Consider the following 25,037-nt stretch of genomic DNA (forward strand, 5'->3'; position numbering starts at 1 on the left):
TCCCTTTAACCTGCATGGTGTATGATGGAAGAGTGCGTAGTGTTTAGGGAACTGCTTTCTTCTTTGATGAAGATCTGGACTGTGGTGGGATAGGAATAGACTTCTGTCTTCAAGACATGTGCATGTGTGTGTATGTGTGTATACATGCTTATATATGCGCCTGTGTGTAAGCCATGCAGCCATTGAAAGTGAGGATGTGGATCCATTCATTCAGCAAGTATTACTTGAACCCCCACCATGTATCACACATTATTCTAGGCACTGGGGATACATCAGTGAAGAAACAGACAAAAACCTCTGCCCTCATGGAGCCCCCATTCTAGTAGACAGACAATAAACATACAAATAAATCAATTACATAGAGTGCTAGAAAGTGGTAAGTCCTAGGGAATAAACAGGGCAGATAAGGAGAATTGGGAGTGTTGGGGTTCAGGGCTGGATATATTTATTAACACGAAATGATGTCTGCCATATACTGTTGAATGCACTTCCTAAACTGTGATTTCATATGACTTCCTGGTATTCCAGGGGAAACTCATCCAGTAAAGTTCAGCCCTTTATGAAGAATTCCCCTGTGGTCACATTCCAATTCCTGGACCTGCTGCCACCCTCAGAGCTGCATGCTCCTTCTTCAGACTTTCTAAGAATGACTCAGGTCATTGGTGGAGTGAAGCCAAGATTTCCAACTCAGTCACCTGAAGAGATGGAGATACCATTCATGGAGCTGGAGATCCCTGAAGATATGGGAATTCAGAAAACAAGCTAAGATAAGGGTGAGCTACTACTTGACCTTTCTGTGTGTCAGTTTGATATCTGTAAAACTGGGCTAATGATGGCACATTATGTGTGGTGAAGACTAAGATAATATGTGAGACGTACCTGGAATAGTACTTGGCACAGTGTAGGCACTTGAGAAACCTTGATTTATTATTTTTGCTATTAGGCTGCATTAACTTTAAGCTGACTGAGAGATATCCATGGGGATATGTCTAGAAACAGTGGACAGTGTGGATCAGGAACTCAGCAGAGGAGCAATGACACAGATTTCAGGGGTGGTTAAAATCTTGGGGGTGGATGACAACTCCATGGTGAAAAAGAGAAACAAGAAGAAACAAGAAAAGAGAGCCAAAGATCTCATCTTGGGGAGCACCAATGTCAAAGGGAAGAAACAGGAAAAGCCAGTAAAAAATCACTTTGTGTTTTGTAGTTACAATGGCTAGAAAGAGAAAGAATTATTTTAGTTGTTTCTTGGTTGTTTTTTGTTTCTTGATGGATACTTTTGTTTAAAACTTTTTATGGTACTGTTGACCTCTATCTCCTCATTCTTCCCCACCATGCCCTGCCCCTGGTAACCACTGTTTTACACTCTGTTTCTTTATATTTAGCTTAAAAAAAAATCCATGTATAAATGAGATCATGCAGTGTTTTTCTCTCTGTGTCTGGCTTATTTCACTTAGCATAATGCCTCCTAGGTTCATCCATGCAAGTAAGTTTAGACATCTCAATGTACAGAGGACTACAGTTAGTAATGTTGTATTGCATGCTGGAAATTTGATAAGAGAGCATTTTAGGTGCTCTTTTAGATACACACACGCACAGAACTATGTGAGGTGATGGATATGTTAATTTGCCTGACCCTAGTAGTCATTTCTGTATGTATATGTATATCAAGATATCATGTTGTATACTTTAAATATATACAATAAAAACAAAACAACAAAAACCTCCATTTTTATTGTAAAACAAAACACTGATATAGAAAACCAGGTAAAACAGGTAGGGCACAATGGCTCATGCCTGTAATCGCATTTTGGGAGGCCGAGGTGGGTGGATCACCTGAGGTCAGGAGTTCGAGACTAGCCCGGCCAACATGGTGAAACCTCGTCTTTACTAAAAATACAAAAATTAACTGGGCATGGTGGCAAGCACCTGTAATCCCAGCTACTCAGGATGCTGAGGTGGGAGAATCACTTGAACCCAGGAGGTGGAGGTTGCAGGGAGCTGAGATCACCCCATTGCAGTCCAGCCTGGGCAACAGAGCAAGACTCTGTCTCAAAAAACAAAAAAAAAAAAGGAAAAAAAAAGAAAAGTATGATGAGGAAGCTGCATTGCTTCTTGTGCTCCTATCCCATTGGCCAGAACATAGTCATGTGGCCATCCCTAGCTAGAAGGCACTTGATCTCTGTTTTGCTCCATTTTCCCCAACCCTCATGTCACCCAGTCTCTGTCTTCTCTGCCTCCAGACTTACCTGTCCCTTACCACAAGCTTGATGAGTTACAAGATGAACACCCCAAACCCCTGGTCAAGAAATAGAACTTTGCCAGGCCCTCCCCACCCAGAAGTCCCTCTGTGTGCATCATCCCAATCACAGCCCCACCCCGGCCCCACTCCAAAAGTGACTGTTACTAACCTGACACTTTCAATAATCACTCCTTGTTTCTTTATGGTTTTATCTCCCATGTGCATTTCTATACACTATAGTTTAGTCTTGCTTATTTTAAAAATTCCGATACTTTTTTTTTTTTTGAGACGGAGCCTCACTCTGTTGCCCAGGCTGGAGTGCAGTGGCACAATCTCGGCTCACTGCAACCTCCACCTCCTGCATTCAAGCGATTCTCCTGCCTCAGCCTCCCGAGTAGCTGGGATTACAGGTGCACATCACCATGCCCGGCTAATCTTTGTATTTTTAGTAGAGATGGGGTTTCACCATGTTGGCCGGGTTGCTCTTGAACTCCTGACCTCAAGCGATCTGCCCACCTCAGTCTTCCAAAATGCTGGAATTACAGGCATGAGCCACCATGCCTGGCCAAAAATCTGATTCATTTTAAGGTTCTTCTTCTTCCTTATCCTTCTTGTCCTCCACCTCCTCCCAGTCCTCCTACTCCTCTTCTTCTCACCTCAACATCATTGGGTATAAGATTTCTTCTAATCTGAAGTTTCCTCTTCTGTCCCTTTCTTTTTCTTACAACTTATCTGTAGAAGAATCTGGGCTGTTTGACCTGTCAAGTTTCCCACAGTCCAGATTTGGATGACTGCATACTCATGATGCAGTTCAGTAAGTTCCTCTGTCCTCTATTTCCGCAAATTGGCAGCTGGATCCAGAGGCATGATCAAATTCAGGGTCAATCCGTTTGGCAAAACTATAGGTGCTGGTGTGTTAACCAGGAGACTCATAATGTCTGGCTGCCTCTCTTTTAATTAATTTATTTATTTATTTTTGGAGATGGAGTCTCATTCTGTTGCCCAGGCTGGAGTGCAGTGGTGCGATCTCAGCTCACTGCAACCTCTGCTTTCTGGGTTCAATCGATCCTCCCACCTCAGCCTCCTGAGTAGTTGAGATTGCAAGTGTGCCCCACAATGCCCAGCTAATTTTTTTGTATTTTTAGTGGAGATGAGATTTTGCCATGTTGGCCAGGCTGGTCTTAAACTTCTGGACTCAAGAAATCTGCCCGCCTCAGCCTCCCAAAGTGCTGGGATTACAGGTGTGAGCCACCGTGCCTGGCTCTCTTTTTATTTTTTATTTATTTTTATTTTCTTGTAGAGATGGGGATCTTGCTGTGTTGCCCAGGCTGGTCTCAAACTCATGGCCTCAAGTGATCCTCCCACCTCTGCCTCCCAAAGTGCTGGGATTACAGGTGTGAGCCACCATGCCCAGCCATCTCTTTCTTTTGATGACAACAGATATTGATACTCAATGAGTAGATCCATTAATATGCTGGGGAGGGCCAGTGGTGATAAATGGTGATGATTTTCTAATTCTATCCTTTATCTTTATTGATTGATGGAATAAGTTTATAAAGAATAACTTGCCCTCGGCCGGGCGCGGTGGCTCACGCCTGTAATCCCAGCACTTTGGGAGGCTGAGGCGGGCGGATCACGAGGTCAGCAGATCGAGACCATCCCGGCTAAAACGGTGAAACCCCGTCTCTACTAAAACTACAAAAAATAGCCGGGCGTAGTGGCGGGCGCCTGTAGTCCTAGCTACTTGGGAGGCTGAGGCAGGAGAATGGCGTGAACCCGGGAGGCGGAGCTTGCAGTGAGCCGAGATCCCGCCACTGCACTCCAGCCTGGGCGACAGAGCGAGACTCCGTCTCAAAAAAAAAAAAAAAAAAGAATAACTTGCCCTCATCTACTGTCTGGCTATCCAGTTCATATAGGACAGTCAAGATAAATGCTTGATTCCTTCTCCTTGTTTATCCAGTTTTCAAGATAATGAAAAATATTAAAATGAACTCAAGCATTTAAATGTGTTTGACAGGTTTCAACCCATTACATTTTATTTATTATTATTATTATTATTATTATTGAGTCAAAATCCTGCTCTCATGCCCAGGCTGGAGTACAGTGCTGCGATCATGGCTCACTGAAGCCTCAACCTCTCAAGCTCAAGCCATCCTCCCACCTCAGCCTCCTGAGTAGCTGGGAGCAGGAATGCACATCAAGCCAGTTCTTTTTTTTTTTTTTTTTTTTTTTTTTTTTGAGACGGAGTTTCACTCTTGTTGCACCCAGGCTGGAGTGCAGTGGCATGATCTCGGCTCACTGCAAACTCCACCTCCCAGGTTCATGCGATTCTCCTGCCTCAGCCTCCCGAGTAGCTGGGATTATAGGCATCCGCCACCATGCCCAGCTGATTTTTGTATTTTTAGTAAAAACGGGATTTCACCATTTTGGCCAGGCTGGTCTCCAACTCCTGACCTCAGGTGATCCACCTGCTTCGGCCTCCCGAAGCGCTGTGATTACAGACTTGAGCCACCACAGCCGGCCCAAGCCAGCTAAATTGTTAAGGTTTTTGTAGAGATGAGGTCTCACTATTTTGCCCAGGGTGGTCTCAAACTCCTGGGCTCAAGTGATCCTTCTGCCTTGCCTCCCAGAGTTCTAGGATTACAGGCATGAGCCACTGCACCTGGCCCTAATCCATTACAATTATTACCATGATGATGCTCATTAAGTCCATCTTTGGCCAGAGGGAGCTTATTCAGGTTGGTTCTTTAGTCCTTTGGACATGCCCACATGCCCGAAGCCTCTTGTTTTCTGATTTGACAACGTGTTCCAGCCTCACCTTGCGTATTTCCGGTTCCAGAGCTTGGCTCTACCACTTCTCCAAGAAATCCCAGTTCATTCAGCTATTAAAAAAAAAAAAAAAGAAGGAAATCCTGCCATTTGTGACAATATTGATGAACATGTTGCGTTTTAATGCTAATTAAAATAAGCCAGACACAGAAAGACAAATACAATTTGATCTCACTTATATGTGGAATATAAAAAAATCACAAACTCAGAAGCAAAGAGAGGAACAGTGGTTGTCAGGGGCTGGATGAGGACGGGGAGATGGGAAGATGTTTGTCAAAGAGTACAAACTTTCAGTTACAAGATGAATAGATTCTGGGAATCATGGTAAAGCATGGGAATTCTGGTAAAGTGTGGTGATTAGAGTTAATACTATTGTACTGTTTACTTGAAATTTGCTAAGAGAGCAGATCGGAAGTGTCCTCACCACACACATACACACAAATAAATGGTAACTTTGTGGTGAAGGATGTGTTCATTTGATTGTGGTAATCATTACATAATCATTAATCATTACATTAAATAATGTATACATTATTTAATATATGTATATTAAATAATAAATTTAATAATAAATTAATAATAATTAAATAATAAATATTCAACCCCCTTGAATATATACAATTTTTTTTGAGACAGAGTCTCGCTCTGTTGCCCAGGCTAGAGTGTGGTGGCACAATCTTGGCTCATTGCAACCTCCACCTCCAGGTTCAAGTGCTTCTCCTGCCTCAGCCTCCCGAGTAGCTGGGACTACAGGCATGCACCACCATGCCTGGCTAATTTTTTGTATTTTTATAGAGATTGAGTCTCACCGTGATGGCCAGGCTGGTCTCAAACTCCTGACCTCAAGCGATCTGCACACCTCAGCCTCCCAAAGTACTGGGATTACAGGTGTTAGCCACTGCACCCAGCTGAATATATGGAATTTTTATTTGTCCATTATTCCTGAATAAAGCTGGAAAAAAAAAAAGAGAAAAGGAAAGGAAAAAAAGACCAGTCTAGATGCTATGGATGTTCATTGCCATTGGTTTCAACATTGTTTCTAGGCCTTTTCAGTAAACAGAGATTTCCAAATCAAATTCAGGACTGATGGGTGTTTATTTAACCTCTTCTGTATTACATCTGTAACCCCTTTCTTCCACATTGTAAATTCTGGTTCTCAAGGACACAGGAGATGAAAGCATTAAATATCCCATTTATTTTAGAATATGCATTTGTTTGATCTATATTATGCAGAAGTCTCAGAAAAACAATACTGACTGCCACCACCAGTTATTACTGAAAACAGTTGTTGTTTTTTTTTCTTTTTTTTTTTGCATATGCTACCCCCTTGCTCCCCCTGCCCACTTTTCTCTGGTTTTACTATATATATTGTTAGAGTATATAACCATTACATAATACACTTTCTTCCTTTTAATCCTTATTTAGTATTAGTTCTATGAAACTAAACTTCATGCTCATCACCAGTCCTTATGACAATGTCTTTCTAGTCATTTTGGTTGTCGGAGGTTTATTCTCTAGTAGATTCCTCAGGAAGGGCTCATGGGCATAATATTCCCTGAGATCTTGCATGCTGATAAAGTTTGGTTATGCATTTGAAGATCAGTAGAGCTAGGTATAAAAATCTTTGGTTCACGTTTTCTTTCCTTGAGCATCTCAAATATACATTCCATTTCCTTCTTGTGTAGAGTATTGCTGTCAAAAAGTCTGATGAGGCTGGGCATGGGGGCTCACACCTTAATCCTACCACTTTAAGAAGTAGAGGTGAGAGGATTGCTTGAGCCCAAGAACTTGAGACCAGCCTGGGCAACATAGTGAGACTCTATCTCTGCAGAAATAAAAGAATAAAACAATATTGTCTGGATGCGGTGGCTCACGCCTGTAATCCCAGCACTTTGGGATGCCAAGGCAGGCGGATCGCCTGAGGTCAGAGTTGAAGACAAGCCTGGCCAACATGGCAAAACCCCATCTCTACTAAAAATAAAAAAAATTAGCTGGGCGCAGTGGCGGGTACCTGTAATTCCAGCTACTCAGGAGGCTGAGGCAGGAGAATCGCTTGATCCTGGGAGGCAGAGGTTGCAGTGAGGCAAGATCACCCTACTGCACTCTAGCCTGGGCAACAAAGTGAGACTCTGTCTCAAAAAATAAAATAAGGTCCCTTCCAAGATTGCCGGATTGAAACAGCTCCCAGTGAGATTGATGCAGAAGATGGGTGATTTCTGCATTTCAAACTGAGGTACCTGATTCATCTCATTGGGACTGGTTGGAGAGTGGGTGCAGCACATGGAAGGCAAGCCGAAGCAGGGTAGGGCATCGCCTCACCTGGGAAGTACAAGGGGTTGGGGGATTTCCCTTTTCTAGCCAAGGGAAGCCATGAGTGACTGTACCTGGAGGAATGGTACGCTTCTGCCCAAATACTGCACTTTTCCCACAGTCTTTGCAACCAGCAGACCAGGAGATTCCCTACCGTGCCTGACTTGGCAGGTCCCACACCCACGGAGCCTTGTTCGCTGCTAGCGCAGCAGTCTGAGATCGACTGGGATGCTGAAGCTTGGCAGGGGGAGGGGCATTCACCTTTGCTAAGGCTTAAGTAGGTGGTTCCATGCTCACAGTGTAAACAAAGGAGCAGGGAAGCTCGAACAGAGCAGAGCCTGCTGCCACTCAACAAGGCCTAATGCCTGTCTAGATTCCACATATGGGGGCAGGGCATATCTGAACAAAAGGCAGCAGACAGCTTCTGCAGACTTAAACATCCCTGCCTGACAGCTCTGAAGAAAGCAGTGGTTCTCCCAGCATGGCATTTGAGCTCCAATAATGGACAGACTGCCTCCTCAAGTGGGTCCCGGACCCCCATGTAGCCTGACTGGGAGACATTTCCCAGTAGGTGCTGACAGACACCCCATACAGGTGGGTGCCCCTCTGGGACAAAGCTTCCAGAGGAAGGATCAGGCAGCAATATGTGCTATTCTGCAGCCTCCGCTGCTGATACCCAGGCAAACAGGGTCTGGAGTGGACCTCCAGCAAACTCCAACAGATCTGCAGCTGAGGGGCCTGTCTGTTAGAAGGGAAACTAACAAACAGAAAGGAATAGCATCAACATCAACAAAAAAGACATCCACACCAAAACCCCATCCATAGGTCACCAACATCAAAGACCAAAGGTAGATAAAACCACAAAGATGGGGAGAAACAAGAGCAGAAAGGCTGAAAATTCCAAACACCAGAACACCTCTTCTCCTCCAAAGGAACACAACTCCTCGCCAGCAAGGGACCAAACTGGACGAAGAATGAGTTTGATGAACTCATTCTGTTTGATGAACAGAAGTAGGCTTCAGAAGGTCGGTAATAACAAACTTCTCTGAGCTAAAGGAGCATGTTCTAACCCATTGCAAGGAAGTAAAAACCTTGAGAAAAGGTTAGACGAAGGGCTAACTAGAATAACCAGTGTAGAGAAGAGCTTAAATGACCTGATGGAGCTGAAAACCACAGTACGAGAACTTCGTGAAGCATACACAAGCTTCAATAGCCAATTCAATCAAACAGAAGAAAGGATATCAGTGATTGAAGATCAAATTAATGAAATAAAGTGAGAAGACAAGTTAGAGAAAAAAGAGGGAAAAGAAACAAACAAAGCCTCCAAGAAATATGGGACAATGTGAAAAGACCAAATCTACATTTGATTGGCATACCTGAAAGTGACGGGGAGAATGGAACCAAATTAGAAAACACCCTTGAGGATATTATCCAGGAGAACTTCCCCAACCTAGCAAGGCAGGCCAACATTCAAATTCAGGAAATACAGAGACCACCACAAAGATACTCCTTGAGAAGAGCAACCCCAAGACACAGAATTGTCAGATTCACCAACGTTGAAATGAAGGAAAAAATGTTAAGGGCAGCCAGACAGAAAGGTCCAGCTACCCACAAAGGGAAGCCAATCAGGCTATCAGGGGATCTCTTGGCAGAAACCCTACAAGCCAGAAGATAGTGGGGGCCAATATTCAACATTCTTAAAGAAAAGAATTTTCAACCGAGAATTTCATATCCAGCCCAACTAAGCTTCATAAGTGAAGGAGAAATAAAATCCTTTACAGACAAGCAAATGCTGAGAGATACTGTCACCACCAGGCCTGCCTTATAAGAGCTCCTGAAGGAAGCACTAAATATGGAAAGGTACAGTCAGTATCAGCCACTGCAAAAACATGCCAAATTGTAAAGACCATCAACGCTATGAAGAAACTGCATCAATTAATGGGCGAAATAACCAGCTAGCATCATAATGACAGAATCAAATTCACACACAGCAATATTAACCTTAAATGTAAATGGGCTAAATGCCCCAATTAAAAGACACAGACTGGCAAATTGGATAAAGAGTAAAGACCCATCAGTGTGCTGTATTCAGGAGACCCATCTCATGTACAAAGACACACATAGGCTCAAAATAAAGGGATGGAGGAAGATCTACCAAGCAAATGGAAAGAAAAAAGAAAGCAGGGGTTGCAATCCTGGTCTCTGATAAAACAGACTTTAAACCAACAAAGATAAAAAGAGAGAAAGAAGGCCATTACATAATGGTAAAGGGATCAATTCAACAAGAAGAGCTAACTATCCTAAATATATATGCACCCAATACAGAAGCACTCAGATTCATAAAGCAAGTCCTTAGAGACCTACAAAGAGACTTAGACTCCCACACAATAATGGAAACTTTAACATCCCACTGTTAATATTAAACAGATCAACGAGACAGAAAATTAACAAGAATATCCAGGACTTGAACTCAGCTCTGGATCAAGCAGACCTAATAGACATCTACAGAACTCTCCACACCTAATCAACAGAATATACATTCTTCTCACCACCACATCGCACTTATTCTAAAACTGACCACATAATTGGAAGTAAAATTCTCCTCAGCAAATGTAAAAGAACAGAAATCACAACAAATGTCTCTCAGACCACAGTGCAATCAAATTAGAACTCAGGATTAAGAAACTCACTCAAAACCGCACAACTACATGGAAACCGAACAACCTGCTCCTGAATGACTACTGGATAAATAACGAAATGAAGGCAGAAATAAAAATGTTCTTTGAAACCAGTGAGAGCAAAGACACAACATACCAGAATCTCTGGGACACATTTAAAGCAGTGTGTAGAGGGAAATTTATAGCACTAAATGCTCACAAGAGAAAGCAGGAAAGATCTAAAATCGACACCCTAACAACACAGTTAAAAGAACTAGAGAAGCAAGAGCAAACAAATTCAAAAGCTAGCAGAAGACAAGAAATAACTAAGATCAGAGCAGAACTGAAGGAGACAGAGACACAAAAAACCCTTCAAAAAAATCAACGAATCCAGGAGCTGGTTTTTTGAAAAGATCAACAAAATACATAGACTGCTAGCAAGACTAATAAAGAAGAAAAGAGAGAAGACTCCAATAGACACAATAAAAAATGATAAAGGGGATGTCACCACAGATCCCACAGAAATACAAACTACCATCAGAGAATACTATAAACACCTCTACACAAATAAACTAGAAAATCTAGAAGAAATGGATAAATTTCTGGACACATACACCCTCCCAAGACTAAACCAGGAAAAAATTGAATCTCTGAATAGACCAATAACGAGTTGATGGGGGCAGCAAACCAACATGGCACATGTATACCTATGTAACAAACCTGCACGTTGTGCACATGTACCCTAGAACTTAAAGTATAATAATAATAATGATTTTTAGAAAACAAAAATAAATAAAACAATATTAAAATTAGCTGGATGTGGTGGTTTGCACCTGTAGTCCCGGCTACTCAGGATGTCCCTGTCCCCTCACACACACCCAAAAAAGAAAATACAGAAAGAAAAGTGATGGTAATATAACTTTCTTTGTAGAGACAGGGTTTCTCTCTGTTGCCAGGCTGGAGTGCAGAGGCACATTCACAGCTCACTGCAACCTTGATCTCCTCCACTCAAGCAATCCTCCCACCACAGCTTTCTGAGTAGTGGGACTACAGGTGCGTGCCATCACATTCAGCTATTTTTTGTATTTTTTTTTCTATTTTGACCATCCATGTCAGAATTTTTTTTTTTTTTTTTTTGTATTTTTGGTAGAAATAGGGTCTTTCTGTGTTGCCCAGGCTAGTTTTGAACTCCTGGGCTCAAGCGGTCCACCTGCCTCGGCCTCCCAAAGTGCTGAGATTACAGGCATAAGCCACTGCACCTGGCCAGGGCTATATTTCTAATAATAGTTTTGTATGGGATTTGATCTTAATACTTTTACTGTGCTGATTTTTACGTGAAATAAATTTTCCTGAATTTTCAGAAGGAGGCTTCATCAGAGAGTTTTTCTAACTTCACAGATCTCTTCCTTTTATTGTTTTCATGAAGTGTGAAAATGACAGTGGCTTTGGTTTGAGCTTTTTCTGGCTCTGTTCCTCTCTCCCCCTTTTATCTGGATCTCTCTCCCCCACTTTTCTTGTCTCTGTGCTGCTTAATTTTGATCCTGCTCTTAGTGGTTTATCCCCAGTGTGGGTTCAGTACCGTAAGGGAGTCCTGGCAGGTCAGTGCTGAGAGCTCAGGGGACAAGAACTTCTCCAGGCCCTTTAGACTTGAATAAGGGCATTGGTGCCCTTGCCCTCGCCTGCTATTGTGATGGCTGTTTCAGCAGCTGTGTGCCGCCCAAAAAATGCCCATCACACTTTCCAGGGAACACCTGTTGGCCACATCTCAAGTCATACAAATCAGAGGCAAACTGAAGTGTGTATACCCCCGCATTCATCAGTCATTGGTTAAAGGTGCCCCTGGGGAATGGGGAAGTCCCAGGCATTTCCAGAGTGATGCAGACAAATTGGTCCTGGCAGTCTGAGGGCACTCCTGTGACTAAAAGATTCCTTCATTCACATGGTCAAGAATGGCTCATTTTTTGTACAGCAGAGTGACTATATTTAATAATACTGTATTGCATACTTGAAATCTGCTTAGAGAGTAGATCTTAAGGGTTCTCACATGAGAAAAGGTAACAATGTGAGGTGATGGATGTGTTAATTTGATTGTAGTAATCATTTAACAATATGTATATATATCAAATCATCATATTGTACACTTTAAGTATATACAATTTTATTGGTTAATGATACCTCAGTAAAGCTCAAAAATGGCTCATTTTTACATTTCCATTTGGCATTGCATTCAGGGTCATGGAACCTGGAAAACAGAGGAGTGAGAGGGTACCCCCATTCCTTCCAGTAGCACATTTTGGGAGTGGCACACCACACTCTTGCTCACATCCGTTGGCCAGAACTTAGTCACAAGAAGCCACTCAGCTGCAAGGGAGATTGGGAAATGTAGTTTTTAGCTGGGAAGCTGCATGCTCAGCTAAATTCTATTATAAGGGAAGAAGGGGAAAATAGATACTGGGGAACAACTGGCAGTCTCTTTCACTAAGAGTGATGGGAAAGAGTGAAAGGAAAAGACTTGTGAGGTAGGGCAAAAGGCTCCCACTTCCAGGCAGGGGGTTGAGGAGGAGGAGGCTGTATGCTGAGGTGAAGCCATACAGCCTTCATTGTGGTAAGGGACAGGTAAGTCTGAAGGCAGAGAAGACAGAGACTGGGTGACATGAGGGTTGGGGAAAATGGAACAAAACAGAGGCCAGGTGCCTTCTAGCTATGGTTGGCCACATGACTACGTTCTGGCCAATGGGATAGGAGCACAAGAAGCAATGCAGCTTCCTCGACAAACTTGTCTTCTTCTTTTTTTTCTTTTTTTTTCTTCTTTTGAGATGGAGTCTCGCTCTGTCACCCAGGCTGCAGTACAGCAGTGCAATCTCGGCTCACTGCAACCTCCGCCTCCCTGGTTCAAGCAATTCTCCTGCCTCAGCCTCCTGAGTAGCTGGGATTACAGGTGTGCACCACCACGCCCGGCTAATTTTTGTATTTTTAGTAGAGACAGGCTTTCACCATGTTGGTCAGACTGGTCTCAAACTCCTGACCTCATGATCTGCCCACCTTGGCCTCCCAAAGTGCTGGAATTACAGGCATGAGTCACCGCACCTGGACTCCTTTTTTTTTTTTCTTTGATTTCCAATTTTTATGTTCAGGGGTACATGTACAGGATGTGCAGGTTTGTTACATGGGTAAATGTGTGCCTTGGTGGTCTGCTGCACAAATCATCCCATCATGTAGGTATTCAGCCCAGCATCCATTAGCTATTCTTCCTGATACGCTCCTTCCTCCCCCACTTCTTTGTTCTGTTTTGTTTTGTTCTGAGATGCGGTTTTGCTCTGTTGCCCAGGCTGGGTGCGGTGGGGCAATCCCAACTCACTGCAGCCCTGACCTCCCAGGCTCAGGTGATCCTCCCACCTCAGCCTCCCAAGTAGCTGTGACTACAGGCACACACCACCATACCAGGCTAATTTATTTTTTGTTTTGGTAGAAACAGGATCTTGCTAGGTTGCCCAGACTGGTCTCAAATTCCTGGGCCCAAGTGGTCCCCCCGTCTCAGCCTCCCAAAGTGCTGAGATTACAGATGTGGGCCAGGAACCTGACCTTCACCACACCACACTCTTAAATGGCAAAATGCTTGCCCTCTACTTCCTTATTTCTCATCTCTGTGGCCTGGAATATGAATGTGGGGTAATGAACATTCTTTTTTTTTTTTTTTTTTTTTTTTTTGAGACAGAGTCTCTCTCTGTCACCCAGGCTGGAGAGCAGTGGCATGAACTCAGCTCACTGCAAACTCCGCCTCCCGGGTTCAAGCGATTCTTCTGCCTCAGCCTCCTGAGTAGCTGGGACTACAGGCAAGCCTCACTCCGCTCGGCTAATTTTTGTATTTTTAGTAGAGACAGCATTTCACCATATTGGCCAGGCTGGTCTCAAACTCCTGACCTCGTGATCCACCCGCCTCAGCCTCCCAAAGTGCTGGGATTACAAGAGTGAGCCACCATGCCAGGCCCGGTAATGTACATTCTTAAACCATGTGGATGGGTGCACAATCTTGGAATAACAAGACAAGACGGTGCTTGGGCTCCTTGTAGATCAGAGGCACCCTACCCCCCAGCTGCCAGCTTGGACCCTTACATGAGAGAGAAATAAATATCTATAGTATTTAAGTTACTGTTATTTGGTCTCTATTAAGGCAGGTGCACCAATATTTTAACTAATATGTTCACTTGTTGACTGATCAATTCAATAACCTAAGAGCCACCATGTGCCAGCACCACATCAGATACCAGGAGCCACAAAGACACAAGTCCACAGGGGCCTGGTGAATCAGGGAGCTGACCGTGTCTGAACCAGGTCAGAACTGTTTCTCCCTGAATCCATGCTTCTTTCAGGACTTGAGCTTCTGCACCAGCAGCACAGGCCTCTTGAGACTGTTGGACCCTAGAAAAAGTTTTGGATTCAGACTGGGAACAGGGGCACTGGTGTGGAGGGGATGTGCACAGAGCTTCCCGGGACTGGAGCCCAGGGCCCCTCACAGTATTTTATTTAAGGCTTCACAACACACACCAGCATTTGGTTTATATTTGGTTTTTAAAAATTCTTTGGTTGTTCTTTAAGACATTAAATAGAAATACCCTGGCCGGGCGCGGTGGCTCACGCCTGTAATCCCAGCACTTTGGGAGGCCAAGGCGGGCAGATCTCCTGAGGTTGGGAGTTTGAGACCATCCTGACCAACATAGAGAAACCTCATCTCTACTAAATATACAAAATTAGCTGGGCGTGTTTGCACATGCCTGTAATCCCAGCTACTCAGGAGGCTGAGGCAGGAGAATCATTTGGGCCCTGGAGGCAGAGGTTGCGGTGAGCCAAGATGGCGCCATTGCACTCCAGCCTGGGCAGCAAGAGCAAAACTCTGTCTCAAAAAGAAAAAAGAAAGAAAGAAAACGAAATACCCCATAAAACATTCAAACTATATTGGAAATATATAAAATACCGGAGAAGCCCTTGTTTTGATATAAGTAGGTCTGAGTCATTGACCAGTCTTTTGGAAACGTCAGTTCAAGTGGGCAATCGTTAAAAACAGACACGTGTAGGTCCTGGTCACTTTGTTTTGACTTCAAACAAAATTCACACTCAGGCACTAGTTTTTCTTTGGGTATCTTGACTCAAATCCCTCTTTGACTTTCTTGCATAAATCACACCCACAATCCTATAATTCATCACCTATTATTTTCAATTTATTTAAACTTAAAGACAGTTGTGAAGCAATCTGATGTAGAACAGTTCTAGATTTTTAGGATTTTCCCTGAATAGTTTATCTTTCACATCTAATTCAACATGTCAGCAAATCTTTTTGTGTATTACTTCCAAAGCATTTAACGTCATTTGCAAGGAAACAATTCTTTATGCACTCACATTTCATCAGTTTATGTAATATTTAATTTAATTATATGATTACAATGACAGTACACCTGGCATAAACAGGCTAGGGACACACCCAATCAACTCTTGGTAAACCGACAACTCAACCCAGAGCAGAGGTAGCTGAGTTCTTGCTTTTCTAGACCAGGGGTCAGCAAACTATGGCCCTGTGGGCCTGTTTTTATACATCCTGTGGGTTAAAAATGCCTTTTAGGGGCTGGGTGTGGTGACTCACACCTGTAATCCGAGCACTTTGGGAAGCCAAGGCAGGCAGATCACTTGAGGTCAGGAGTTCGAGGCCAGCCTGGCCAACATGGTGAAACCCCATCTCCACAAAAAATACAAAAAGTAGCCGGGCATGGTGGCGGGCGCCCGTAGTCCCAGCTACTTAGGAGGTTGAGACAGGAGAATCCCTTGAACCCGGGAAGGGGGACTTGCAGTGAGCTGAGATCACACCACTGTACTCCAGCCTGGGTGACAGAGTGAGACTGTCTCAAAAAAAAAAAAAAAATGCCTTTTATGCCAGGCACAGTGGCTCATGGCTATAATCTCAGCATTTTAGGTGGCTGAGGCCAGAGGATCCCTTGAGCTCAATAATAATAAAAAGAATGGCTTTTTAAAGTGGTTGAATCTGTAAGTGGTTGAAAAAAACTTAAAAAAATATTTATTCCATGAAAATTATATGAAATTCAAACTTTAATGTCTGTAAGCAAAGATTTACTAAAGCACTACTACATCCATTCTTTTTTTTTTTTTTTTTTGGTGTATTCAGTGGCTGCTTTCAAGCTACCATGGCTAAGCCTAACAGTGTCAACAGAGACTGTCTGGAGCACAAAGCCTAAAATATTTACTATCTGGTCCTTTACAGAAAGAGTTTGCCTACCTCTGTTCTAGAGCGAAGCCTGAGCCTTGGGTGCTCACTATGCCACAGGTATCTGTTACTGTGGTTTGCAGAAGCTTCAGGTGAGAGGGAGAGCTTCTAGGAGAATGCCTACCACGAAAAGTGAAAATCCCTTCCTTCTTGGCATCACTGTTTCCCAAACCCACCTCCCACTCTTCCCAAGGTAGCTTCATGGTTTGCTTCGTCACTTCCTTCCTGGGCTCAAGTGAACCTCCCAACTTGGTCTACCAGAGCACTGGGATTACAGACATGAGCCACTATACCCAGCTCTGATTTTTCTCTATAGCACTTATCAGATATATTCCATGCTTATTTATTTATTTATTTTTAATTTGTTTGAGACAGAGTCTCACTTTGTCACCCAGGCTGGTGTGCAGTGGCACCATCTCAGCTCACTGCAACCTCCGCCCCCCAGGTTCAAGCAATTCTCCTGCCTCAGCCTCCCAAGTAGCTGGGATCACAGGCGTGTGCCACCACACTTGGCTAATTTTTGTACTTTTAATAGAGACGAGATTTCACCATGTTGGCCAGGCTGGTCTTGAACTCCTGACCTCAGGTGATCCACCTGCCTCAGCCTCCCAAAGTGCTGGGATTACAGGCATGAGCCACCACGCCCAGCCTCCATGCTTATTGATTTATTTTCTATTTCCTGTCACTAGAATGTGAGCTCTATGAGGGCAAGGGTTTTGCCTGTTTGTTCACTGCCCTATCCCAGTCCCTAGATGAGTGCCTGGCACACAGCAGGGACTTCATAAACGCTTGTTGAATGAGGATCGAATTACTCTTGCTGTATGACCATCTGCTGTCTGCAGGACCCTGGGCATGAGGAAATGCCTGCAGGCGGAAGGGCAGTGGGCCAGTGCTGCACAGTGCACGATGATCAAAGAGAGGGCTTATGTGTGGGGAGTGGGTACGGGCAGGTGGGTGATGGGGTGCAAAATTCTAGACCTCTAAGGATGAATGGCAGAGGCCACACCCCCTTGATGAGTGACCCTTGAGCCCACCGGACAAGGGGAATGGTTGGCTAGGGTCCAGGTCCATGGTCTCCCTGACTTAGGGTGGCCTTGCCCGGGGCTCTGAGAATGGGGCCAAGGAAGCCCTAGTGATTCTGTCCCCTACCCTTCAAGGACAAGTTGGAGGCAGGCCCTGGTCTCAAACATCTACAAAAACAATTGTGTCTGAACTTTCTGCCCTCACAGATGTCAGCCCCCCAACCCCCAGACATGTCTCATGACCACTGAGTCATGCATCAATGATGGGTGTGGGTGTGTGGATGGATGTAGCCAAGCCCATTGACCGAGGACTGAGACATACTCCCCACTAATCAACAAGTTAACAAGCTCTCTGATGAGGAGGCAGTGATTAATGAACCAATCGGCTTGCCCTGTAAGTGGGGAGTGAAATTGGAGGGTGGGAGTATGATGGATAGGGAGGGCTTGGAGGGATGTGTGAGGCTGGCTCCTGGTCCACACTGAGACTATCTGGGTGCCCATTTACTTTGGCTATAAATGAGGAAGTGACTTCTTCAGAGGTTGTAGCCCAAATTCAGGCCATCCCATACCCTTTAGCTTCTATAATGTCTCTCCTGTCTTCCCATCTGTCCTTGGACCCCATATTCCCCAAGACATGACGGGGTTCCAGGGATGTCAGATTCCCTGTGGACATCTCACAGGCTCCATCTCTCTGCCTGGAATCAGTGCACTAGAAACTCCCTATCCCCCCATGGTTAGTGCTGCAGGGTCAGAAGAGCAAACAGGCCCCTACTCTCTGGTATCCTTGCCCCCATTAGCCTGCAGGGTCCTTCTGTAGGCCCTGACCCCTGGGATCACAGATGTACTAACAGGCTCCCACTGCCCCCTCCATCCCAGGGTGAGCACCTGTCTTTTGTCTTTCCATGGAGGAGTGGAATTCTTTGATTTCTGCTGTCACCCCTCCAAACAGGACAACAGCTGTCTCTCTGTTTGTCTCTCTGTATCTGTGTTCTGAGAACGCCTCAGACTGAGGATCCCCCATGATACAGCCATGTCCTTTCTTTGAGACTGGAGTTCTTGAAGGACAGGGCCGTGCCTTGCCCCCTGGATGAGGGGTCCCTAAGAAGAATGATTTTTCTCCTTCCTTCAAAGGTAGGATCTATGTCCCCTTGTCCTGGTGTCCTCTTCCACCTCCATGCTCAGCAGGGCACCCTGGTGTTTCCTGGGATGTGTGGTCCCATGGGGCCTGACTGGCTGATAAGGAGCCATCTGCGGAGAATGCAGGTGATTGAACCCATAAAAGAGTGACTGAGAGTTTCCTGGGGCTGCTGTAACAAATGACCACAAAGGATTCTCACATGTTTAAGAGCTTGTTGCTCTCCCTCTCCCTCTCCCTCTCCCTCTCCCTCTCCGTCTCCCTCTCCGTCTCCCTCTCCGTCTCCCCACGGTCTCCCTCTCATGCGGGGCCGAAGCTGGACTGTACTGCTGCCATCTCGGCTCACTGCAACCTCCCTGCCTGATTCTCCTGCCTCAGCCTGCCGAGTGCCTGCGATTGCAGGCACGCGCCGCCACGCCTGACTGGTTTTGGTGGAGACGGGGTTTCGCTGTGTTGGCCGGGCCGGTCTCCAGCCCCTAACCGCGAGTGATCCGCCAACCTCGGCCTCCCGAGGTGCCGGGATTGCAGACGGAGTCTCGTTCACTCAGTGCTCAATGGTGCCCAGGCTGGAGTGCAGTGGCGTGATCTCGGCTCACTACAACCTACACCTCCCAGCCGCCTGCCTTGGCCTCCCAAAGTGCCGAGATTGCAGCCTCTGCCCGGCCGCCACCCCGTCTGGGAAGTGAGGAGTGTCTCTGCCTGGCCGCCCATCGTCTGGGATGTGAGGAGCCCCTCTGCCTGGCTGCCCAGTCTGGAAAGTGAGGAGCATCTCCGCCCGGCCGCCATCCCATCTAGGAAGTGAGGAGCGCCTCTTCCCAGCCGCCGTCACATCTAGGAAGTGAGGAGCGTCTCTGCCCCGCCGCCCATTGTCTGAGATGTGGGGAGCGCCTCTGCCCCGCCGCCCCATCTGGGATGTGAGGAGCGCCTCTGCCCGGCCGAGACCCCGTCTGGGAGGTGACGAGCGTCTCTGCCCGGCCGCCCCGTCTGAGAAGTGAGGAGACCCTCTGCCTGGCAACCACCCCGTCTGAGAAGTGAGGAGCCCCTCCGCCCGGCAGCTGCCCCGTCTGAGAAGTGAGGAGCCTCTCCGCCCGGCAGCCACCCCATCTGGGAAGTGAGGAGCGTCTCCGCCCAGCAGCCACCCCGTCCGGGAGGGAGGTGGGGGGGGGTCAGCCCCCCGCCCGGCCAGCCGCCCCGTCTGGGAGGTGAGGGGCGCCTCTGCCCGGCCGCCCCTACTGGGAAGTGAGGAGCCCCTCTGCCCGGCCAGCCGCCCCGTCCGGGAGGGAGGTGGGGGGGTCAGCCCCCCGCCCGGCCAGCCGCCCTGTCCGGGAGGGAGGTGGGGGGGTCAGCCCTCCGCCCGGCCAGCCGCCCCGTCTGGGAGGTGAGGGGCGCCTCTGCCCGGCTGCCCCTACTGGGAAGTGAGGAGCCCCTCTGCCCGGCCAGCCGCCCCATCCGGGAGGGAGGTGGGGGGGTCCGCCCCCCGCCCGGCCAGCCGCCCCTTCCGGGAGGGAGGTGGGGGGGTCGGCCCCCCGCCTGGCCAGCCGCCCCGCCCGGGAGGGAGGTGGGGGTGTCGGCCCCCCGCCCGGCCAGCCGCTCCGTCCAGGAGGGAGGTGGGGGGGTCAGCCCCCCGCCCGGCCAGCCGCCCCGTCCGGGAGGGAGTTGGGGGCGGTCAGCCCCCCTGCCCGGCCAGCCGCCCCGTCCGGGAGGTGAGGGGCGCCTCTGCCCGGCCGCCCCTACTGGGAAGTGAGGAGCCCCTCTGCCCGGCCAGCCGCCCCATCCGGGAGGGAGGTGGGGGCGTCAGCCCCCCGCCCGGCCAGCCGCCCCGTCCGGGAGGGAGGTGGGGGGGTCAGCCCCCCTGCCCGGCCAGCCGCCCCATCCGGGAGGTGAGGGGCGCCTCTGCCCGGCCGCCCCTACTGGGAAGTGAGGAGCCCCTCTGCCCGGCCACCACCCCGTCTGGGAGGTGTGCCCAACAGCTCATTGAGAACGGGCCAGGATGACAATGGCGGCTTTGTGGAATGGAAAGGCGGGAAAGGTGGGGAAAAGATTGAGAAATCGGATGGTTGCCCTGTCTGTGTAGAAAGAAGTAGACATGGGAGACTTTTCATTTTGTTCTGCACTAAGAAAAATTCCTCTGCCTTGGGATCCTGTTGATCTGTGACCTTACCCCCAACCCTGTGCTCTCTGAAACATGTGCTGTGTCCACTCAGGGTTAAAAGGATTAAGGGTGGTGCAAGATGTGCTTTGTTAAACAGATGCTTGAAGGCAGCATGCTCGTTAAGAGTCATCACCACTCCCTAATCTCAAGTAATCAGGGACACAAACACTGCGGAAGGCCGCAGGGTCCTCTGCCTAGGAAAACCAGAGACCTTTGTTCACTTGTTTATCTGCTGACCTTCCCTCCACTATTGTCCCATGACCCTGCCAAATCCCCCTCTGTGAGAAACACCCAAGAATTATCAATAAAAAAATAAATTTAAAAAAAAAAAAAAAAAAGAGTGACTGAGAGAGCCCTGAACTCTCCCTCTCAGGAGAGCTCTAAAAATAGCACCCACAGCCATCTGTCCTGGGGCTGGAGGGGCTGGCTCAGAACCAGCGGCCTGGACAAGTTGGCCCCTTCAGCCCCCATGGGTTGATGGGACATCTGGAAGTACTGGAGGTCTGGCCAGGCCAGGGAGAGGAAGCTGGAAGGGCTTTATGGAGAGACCTTCCCACAGCCCTCTCTCCTACTGGGCAGGTGGGTTTGAGGGGGTTGGCATTCTGGAGGCCCTTCCCCTACTCAGCCTCTCATAGTGGGTGGTGGGCCCCAGACTTAGGCTTCCGGTCCCTGCTCCCAGGCCTGCCTCCGGCACCACATGGCTACTCCAGGTGCTGAGGCTTTCTGCCCCTCACAATTGAGAGGTCCTCTTCCTGGGGTCTGCCTCACCCTCCTTTTCCTGTTTGAATCATGGGTGACTTTGGCTGCTTCATCAGGGCTTCAATTTCCTCATCTGGAAAATGGAGATAAACTCAGCTCATTGTTTTGTGATGTCCGAAATTATGTACTACCCGGTGCACAGTAGGTGCTTAATAAACATGAGTCCTTTCCTTCAAAGGATCTGGGCTTCAGAGCCCAGTGGAGACTGCCATGGGCTGGGGACAGTGGCATGTGCTTGGGAAGGCTTGGCATCACTCAGGCCCAGAAGACACCAGTGCCCTGATTGACACCTGCATAGGGGTGGGGACATTGCCTGGGGAGAGGGCTCTATGCCACACATGGCTGGACCAGGGTCTTTGTGTGCCAGGCTGGATACACAGGTAGCTGACTCAGCTGCTTCTGGTTGGGGGACTGGCTTCTGCCTCCTCCTGCCTCTTTTCCCAACTCTTTAATGGAGAGAGAACATAACGGAGTGTTCAGAGAGGCCTCTCCCCCAGGATATCATAAACTGCAGGCCAGGAGCCCAAGGTCAGGTGCTCCCACCCCTGCCTCCAGGAGAAAGACTTTCCCCCAGAGGTCCTGTCACTCCTCAGCCCTTCTCCAAGGTATTACTGAGCAGAGGCTGAAAAGAGTTGTGTTTTGGAAAGAGTGGTCACAGATCCCACAGGCTGGAAGAAATGTGTCTACCCTCCCACCCCCCACTCCCACCATGGACTGGCTAGGGAAGACAGAATCTCATTCCTGGTCCTAGGGGCTGCCCCAGGAGTCTAATCCAACCACTTCACTTCCTCAGGAGGCTGGACCTGCCCCTGCGGGGCTGTGGGCTGAACACAGGGTTCAGGCTAGGTACCCCATCCAGTGGGACCCCAAATCTGAGCATGGCAGCTGCCCCCTGAGCTCCTATGAGGTGGAGACGTCACACAGTGGCTGAGCGTAAGCTCAAGGATCTGGTGCGGGTGGAAGGAGGAAGAAGGGCGCACCCCCTGCTGGCTCCCCCTCCCCGTGGGACTCCCTTTCCTTTCCAGGCGGGGATATAAGCCCCGAAAGGAAAGCCCTGAGCAGAGGAGGCCTCAGCTTGACCTGTCCCAGTGCGCCCTTGAAACTTTCCTCGCCTTCCACCTCCTGCTCATCTGCTTCACAAGCTGTCGCTGTGAGTGGCTGGAGCTCAAGCATGGTCTGGTACTAGGAAATCCAGGCTGTTTTGTGGGGAAACTGAGGCTGGGATGGTGGAAGCTGGGGGTGAGTGGTGGGAAACTGGATTGGAGGGGGCCATTGGAGGTGGGAAGGAGGCCCGGGAGTCCCGTTGCCAGCACAACCCTCTTTAATCTACCTCTCTGGACAGCAGCGGGGGTGGGGGTGGGGTTACGTCAGGCAGGGCTTATGTCCCTCTGACAGATTAGGAAACTGAGGCAGGAGACGGTGCAGTGCCGGAGAACATATGGCAAGCTGGTGGCTGAACCTTGGTCCGCTACCAGCCCCAGGGAGAGCACCGGAGCACGGCCCCGACGGCAGCCGCAGCCTCCCGCCGTGGAGGGTCGAGGCTCGGAATGACCCACACCCCAATGTCGCCTTCCCAGGTGGTGTCGGTTCGCAGGTCGTGGCCTCTCATGGCCACGGTGCTTTTGGCCCTGCTCGTCTACCTGGGGGCGCTGGTCGACGCCTACCCCATCAAACCCGAGGCTCCCGGCGAAGACGCCTTCCTGGGGTAGCTGAGCCGCTGCTACGCCTATCCTCGCCACTACCTCATCCTGGTCACTCAGCCGTCGTGAGCGCAGGCGCGGGGCGGGCGGAGCGGGACCCCTGGGGCTCTCCCCCTGCGGCCCCGCTCCACCGGGGGCGTGGCTAGATCTGACCGCGCCCTTCCAGGCCCCGCCCTCAGGTATGGGAAACTAGGCCGCCCGGTCGCGCGCCTCTCCAAAACGTTCTTCCCAGACTGCGAGGACCGCCTCGGCAGGTGGCGGTAAAAGCGCCCCCATCAAGTCACATAACATCCTGCCTCCGAGAGCGCGGTCTGGCCCCACCCTGGTCCATCACTTACGACGTCTCCCAGGCTTGCCTCCCCGGATCGGATTCCTTTCCCTTCGATCCCGCAGGCCGGAGGCGCAGACCTGTGGTGAGGACACCCGAGGCCTCCTGGGAGACCTGCAGACCACGCCCACCTCATTTACATGTTCACTCCCGACCCTGGAAACCCGGATTTCGCCTCCGGACAGCGGCGTCTGGGCAGGGTTCGGGTACTGCAGTCCCGCGTCTGGATGCCCCCGCCCCCTGAGCTGCAGGGCTGTGTGTGGTCCTTCCCTGGTCCCAAAATAAAGAGCGAATTGCACAGAAACGGAATGTGTGCCTTTGTATTTTCTTTCCTTTCTCCTTCGTGGAGGTGGCGTCTCGTGGAAGTGGAGGGTGGAGGCGTGGGGGCCAGAGGAGAGAAAACCTACTCGGACAGAGGCGCTCCAGGACAAGGCTGGGGCGAGCGCGGGGGTTCCCTCTGCTCGGAGCCCAAGGAAAATTCGACCACCCAGCCTGGGGCTGGACAGCGCCCAGACCAGGGGCTGCTGTGGAAGGAACTCTAGTTGAGTGGGGGCAGGGGTGGATGGGTTTCTGGAAAAAGGGGCAGGGAGCGTGGACAGGAGCCGCGGGAGAGGCAGGTAATTTCTACCGTCCCCCTTTCCCCGAGCAGAGGAGCAATGGGGAGTGTGGAGGCTGCCCGATCGCTAAAAAACCGCCCTCTCTCATCTCGCTGAATCCACACTCAGTGGATAAGTCAGGAATTGTGCTTTCCTAGTGACAAGGCCATAGGGACACCCTCCCATGTACCCCCCTCCCCTGGACTAGATACTGAAGCCTAAGGGCGCTGTGGATGTTTAAACTCACCATTCTGCACCGATTCCAGAGCCTGCCTGTAGGGTGATCTCCCCTGACATGCACCCTTTCCTGCCCCTTTCCTCCAAGAAGCTTGCCTTGATTGCCTAATTGCACTCTTCCTGCCCTCTCTGGCTGCCCAGCTCTCAGGGCCTCTGCTCTATTCACTGAGACTTCTGTCTGTGTCTTTGTGTCTTGTCTCCCTCCTGGGGCCTCAGGAAGGAAAGGCCTATGTCTCCTTCCTCAGCCTCCTGTATCTATGGGATGTCTCCAGATGCAGCCTCCTGTATCTATGGGATGTCTCCTGGGCCTCTAGTTCAGCAAGACCTGCCCAAATCTTGCAGGGGGCTAGGAGATGAGGGGGAGAATCAGGGTTGAGGCCAAAGCCTTTGACCCAGAGAGGGTGAAAAGGACAGGAAGACTGCAGGCATCCCTGTGTGGATCAGGGTTTTGAAGTACTGTTTGCAGTTCCATGGCTCTGGAAGAAGAGAAGACTCTAAAGCTAACTCTGCCATAGCTGCAGAGGAGGTCCCTGCTTGGACACAGGTCCCCAGGGGGCCACAGGGCTCTGACACCCACCCTCCCCTGTGCTGCCCTCCAGCCTCCCTGGAGGTAGAGCTGAAAGGGTGAAGCTGAAGAGGCAGCTGTAGGTCACTGGCTATGTGGATTCTGATGCTCTGTGCCTTTGCCCAGGCCACTGTCCCTGCTTGCAGAGAGCCCTTTCCCTCTCTTCAGCCTGGAAGATACTCTCAGGATAGTGGTCACCTCCTCCCGGAAGCCTTGCCTGATTTCCTGGGGATG

At 48.9% G+C, this 25,037-nt stretch overlaps 1 protein-coding gene, 1 long non-coding RNA gene and 1 pseudogene across 5 annotated transcripts in view, besides 3 other annotated features; 2 read left to right on the plus strand and 1 right to left on the minus strand.

Annotated features, from left to right (window-relative positions):
• Positions 1 to 1,723, plus strand: part of NLK (nemo like kinase) — a 163,398-nt gene extending 161,675 nt beyond the window's left edge. The window contains exon 12 of the transcript XR_934482.2: positions 529 to 1,723. The gene's annotated coding sequence lies outside the window, so the exon portion shown is untranslated. The remainder of the gene's footprint in view (positions 1 to 528) is intronic.
• Positions 423 to 23,489, minus strand: LOC105371710 (uncharacterized). Of its 3 annotated transcripts, XR_934638.2 has the most exons (4): positions 23,416 to 23,489; positions 5,881 to 6,023; positions 5,061 to 5,124; positions 423 to 734 (listed from the first exon to the last, which is right to left on the minus strand). It is a non-coding gene; the product is annotated as an uncharacterized LOC105371710 (long non-coding RNA). The 3 variants fall into 3 exon arrangements; XR_007065685.1 differs by lacking the exon at positions 5,881 to 6,023; XR_007065684.1 differs by lacking the exon at positions 423 to 734 and having other exon boundaries at positions 4,248 to 5,124.
• Positions 21,821 to 22,471: an enhancer, noted in NCBI's record as "H3K4me1 hESC enhancer chr17:26553198-26553848 (GRCh37/hg19 assembly coordinates)". NCBI's record gives its function as "activates a minimal SCP1, AML or CMV promoter by ChIP-STARR-seq in naive H9 embryonic stem cells {active_cell/tissue: H9 hESC(naive)}" and the evidence as "EXISTENCE:reporter gene assay evidence [ECO:0000049][PMID:30033119]".
• On the plus strand, positions 22,212 to 23,709 carry PYY2 (peptide YY 2 (pseudogene); annotated as a pseudogene). Its single transcript, NR_003064.2, has 2 exons — positions 22,212 to 22,527; positions 22,955 to 23,709. The product of NR_003064.2 is annotated as a peptide YY 2 (pseudogene) (transcript).
• Positions 23,122 to 23,771: an enhancer, noted in NCBI's record as "H3K27ac-H3K4me1 hESC enhancer chr17:26554499-26555148 (GRCh37/hg19 assembly coordinates)". NCBI's record gives its function as "activates a minimal SCP1, AML or CMV promoter by ChIP-STARR-seq in naive H9 embryonic stem cells {active_cell/tissue: H9 hESC(naive)}" and the evidence as "EXISTENCE:reporter gene assay evidence [ECO:0000049][PMID:30033119]".
• Positions 23,772 to 24,421: an enhancer, noted in NCBI's record as "H3K27ac-H3K4me1 hESC enhancer chr17:26555149-26555798 (GRCh37/hg19 assembly coordinates)". NCBI's record gives its function as "activates a minimal SCP1, AML or CMV promoter by ChIP-STARR-seq in primed H9 embryonic stem cells {active_cell/tissue: H9 hESC(primed)}" and the evidence as "EXISTENCE:reporter gene assay evidence [ECO:0000049][PMID:30033119]".

This window comes from Homo sapiens, chromosome 17, assembly GCF_000001405.40.
Source record: "Homo sapiens chromosome 17, GRCh38.p14 Primary Assembly".
Taxonomy (NCBI): Eukaryota; Metazoa; Chordata; class Mammalia; order Primates; family Hominidae; genus Homo; species Homo sapiens.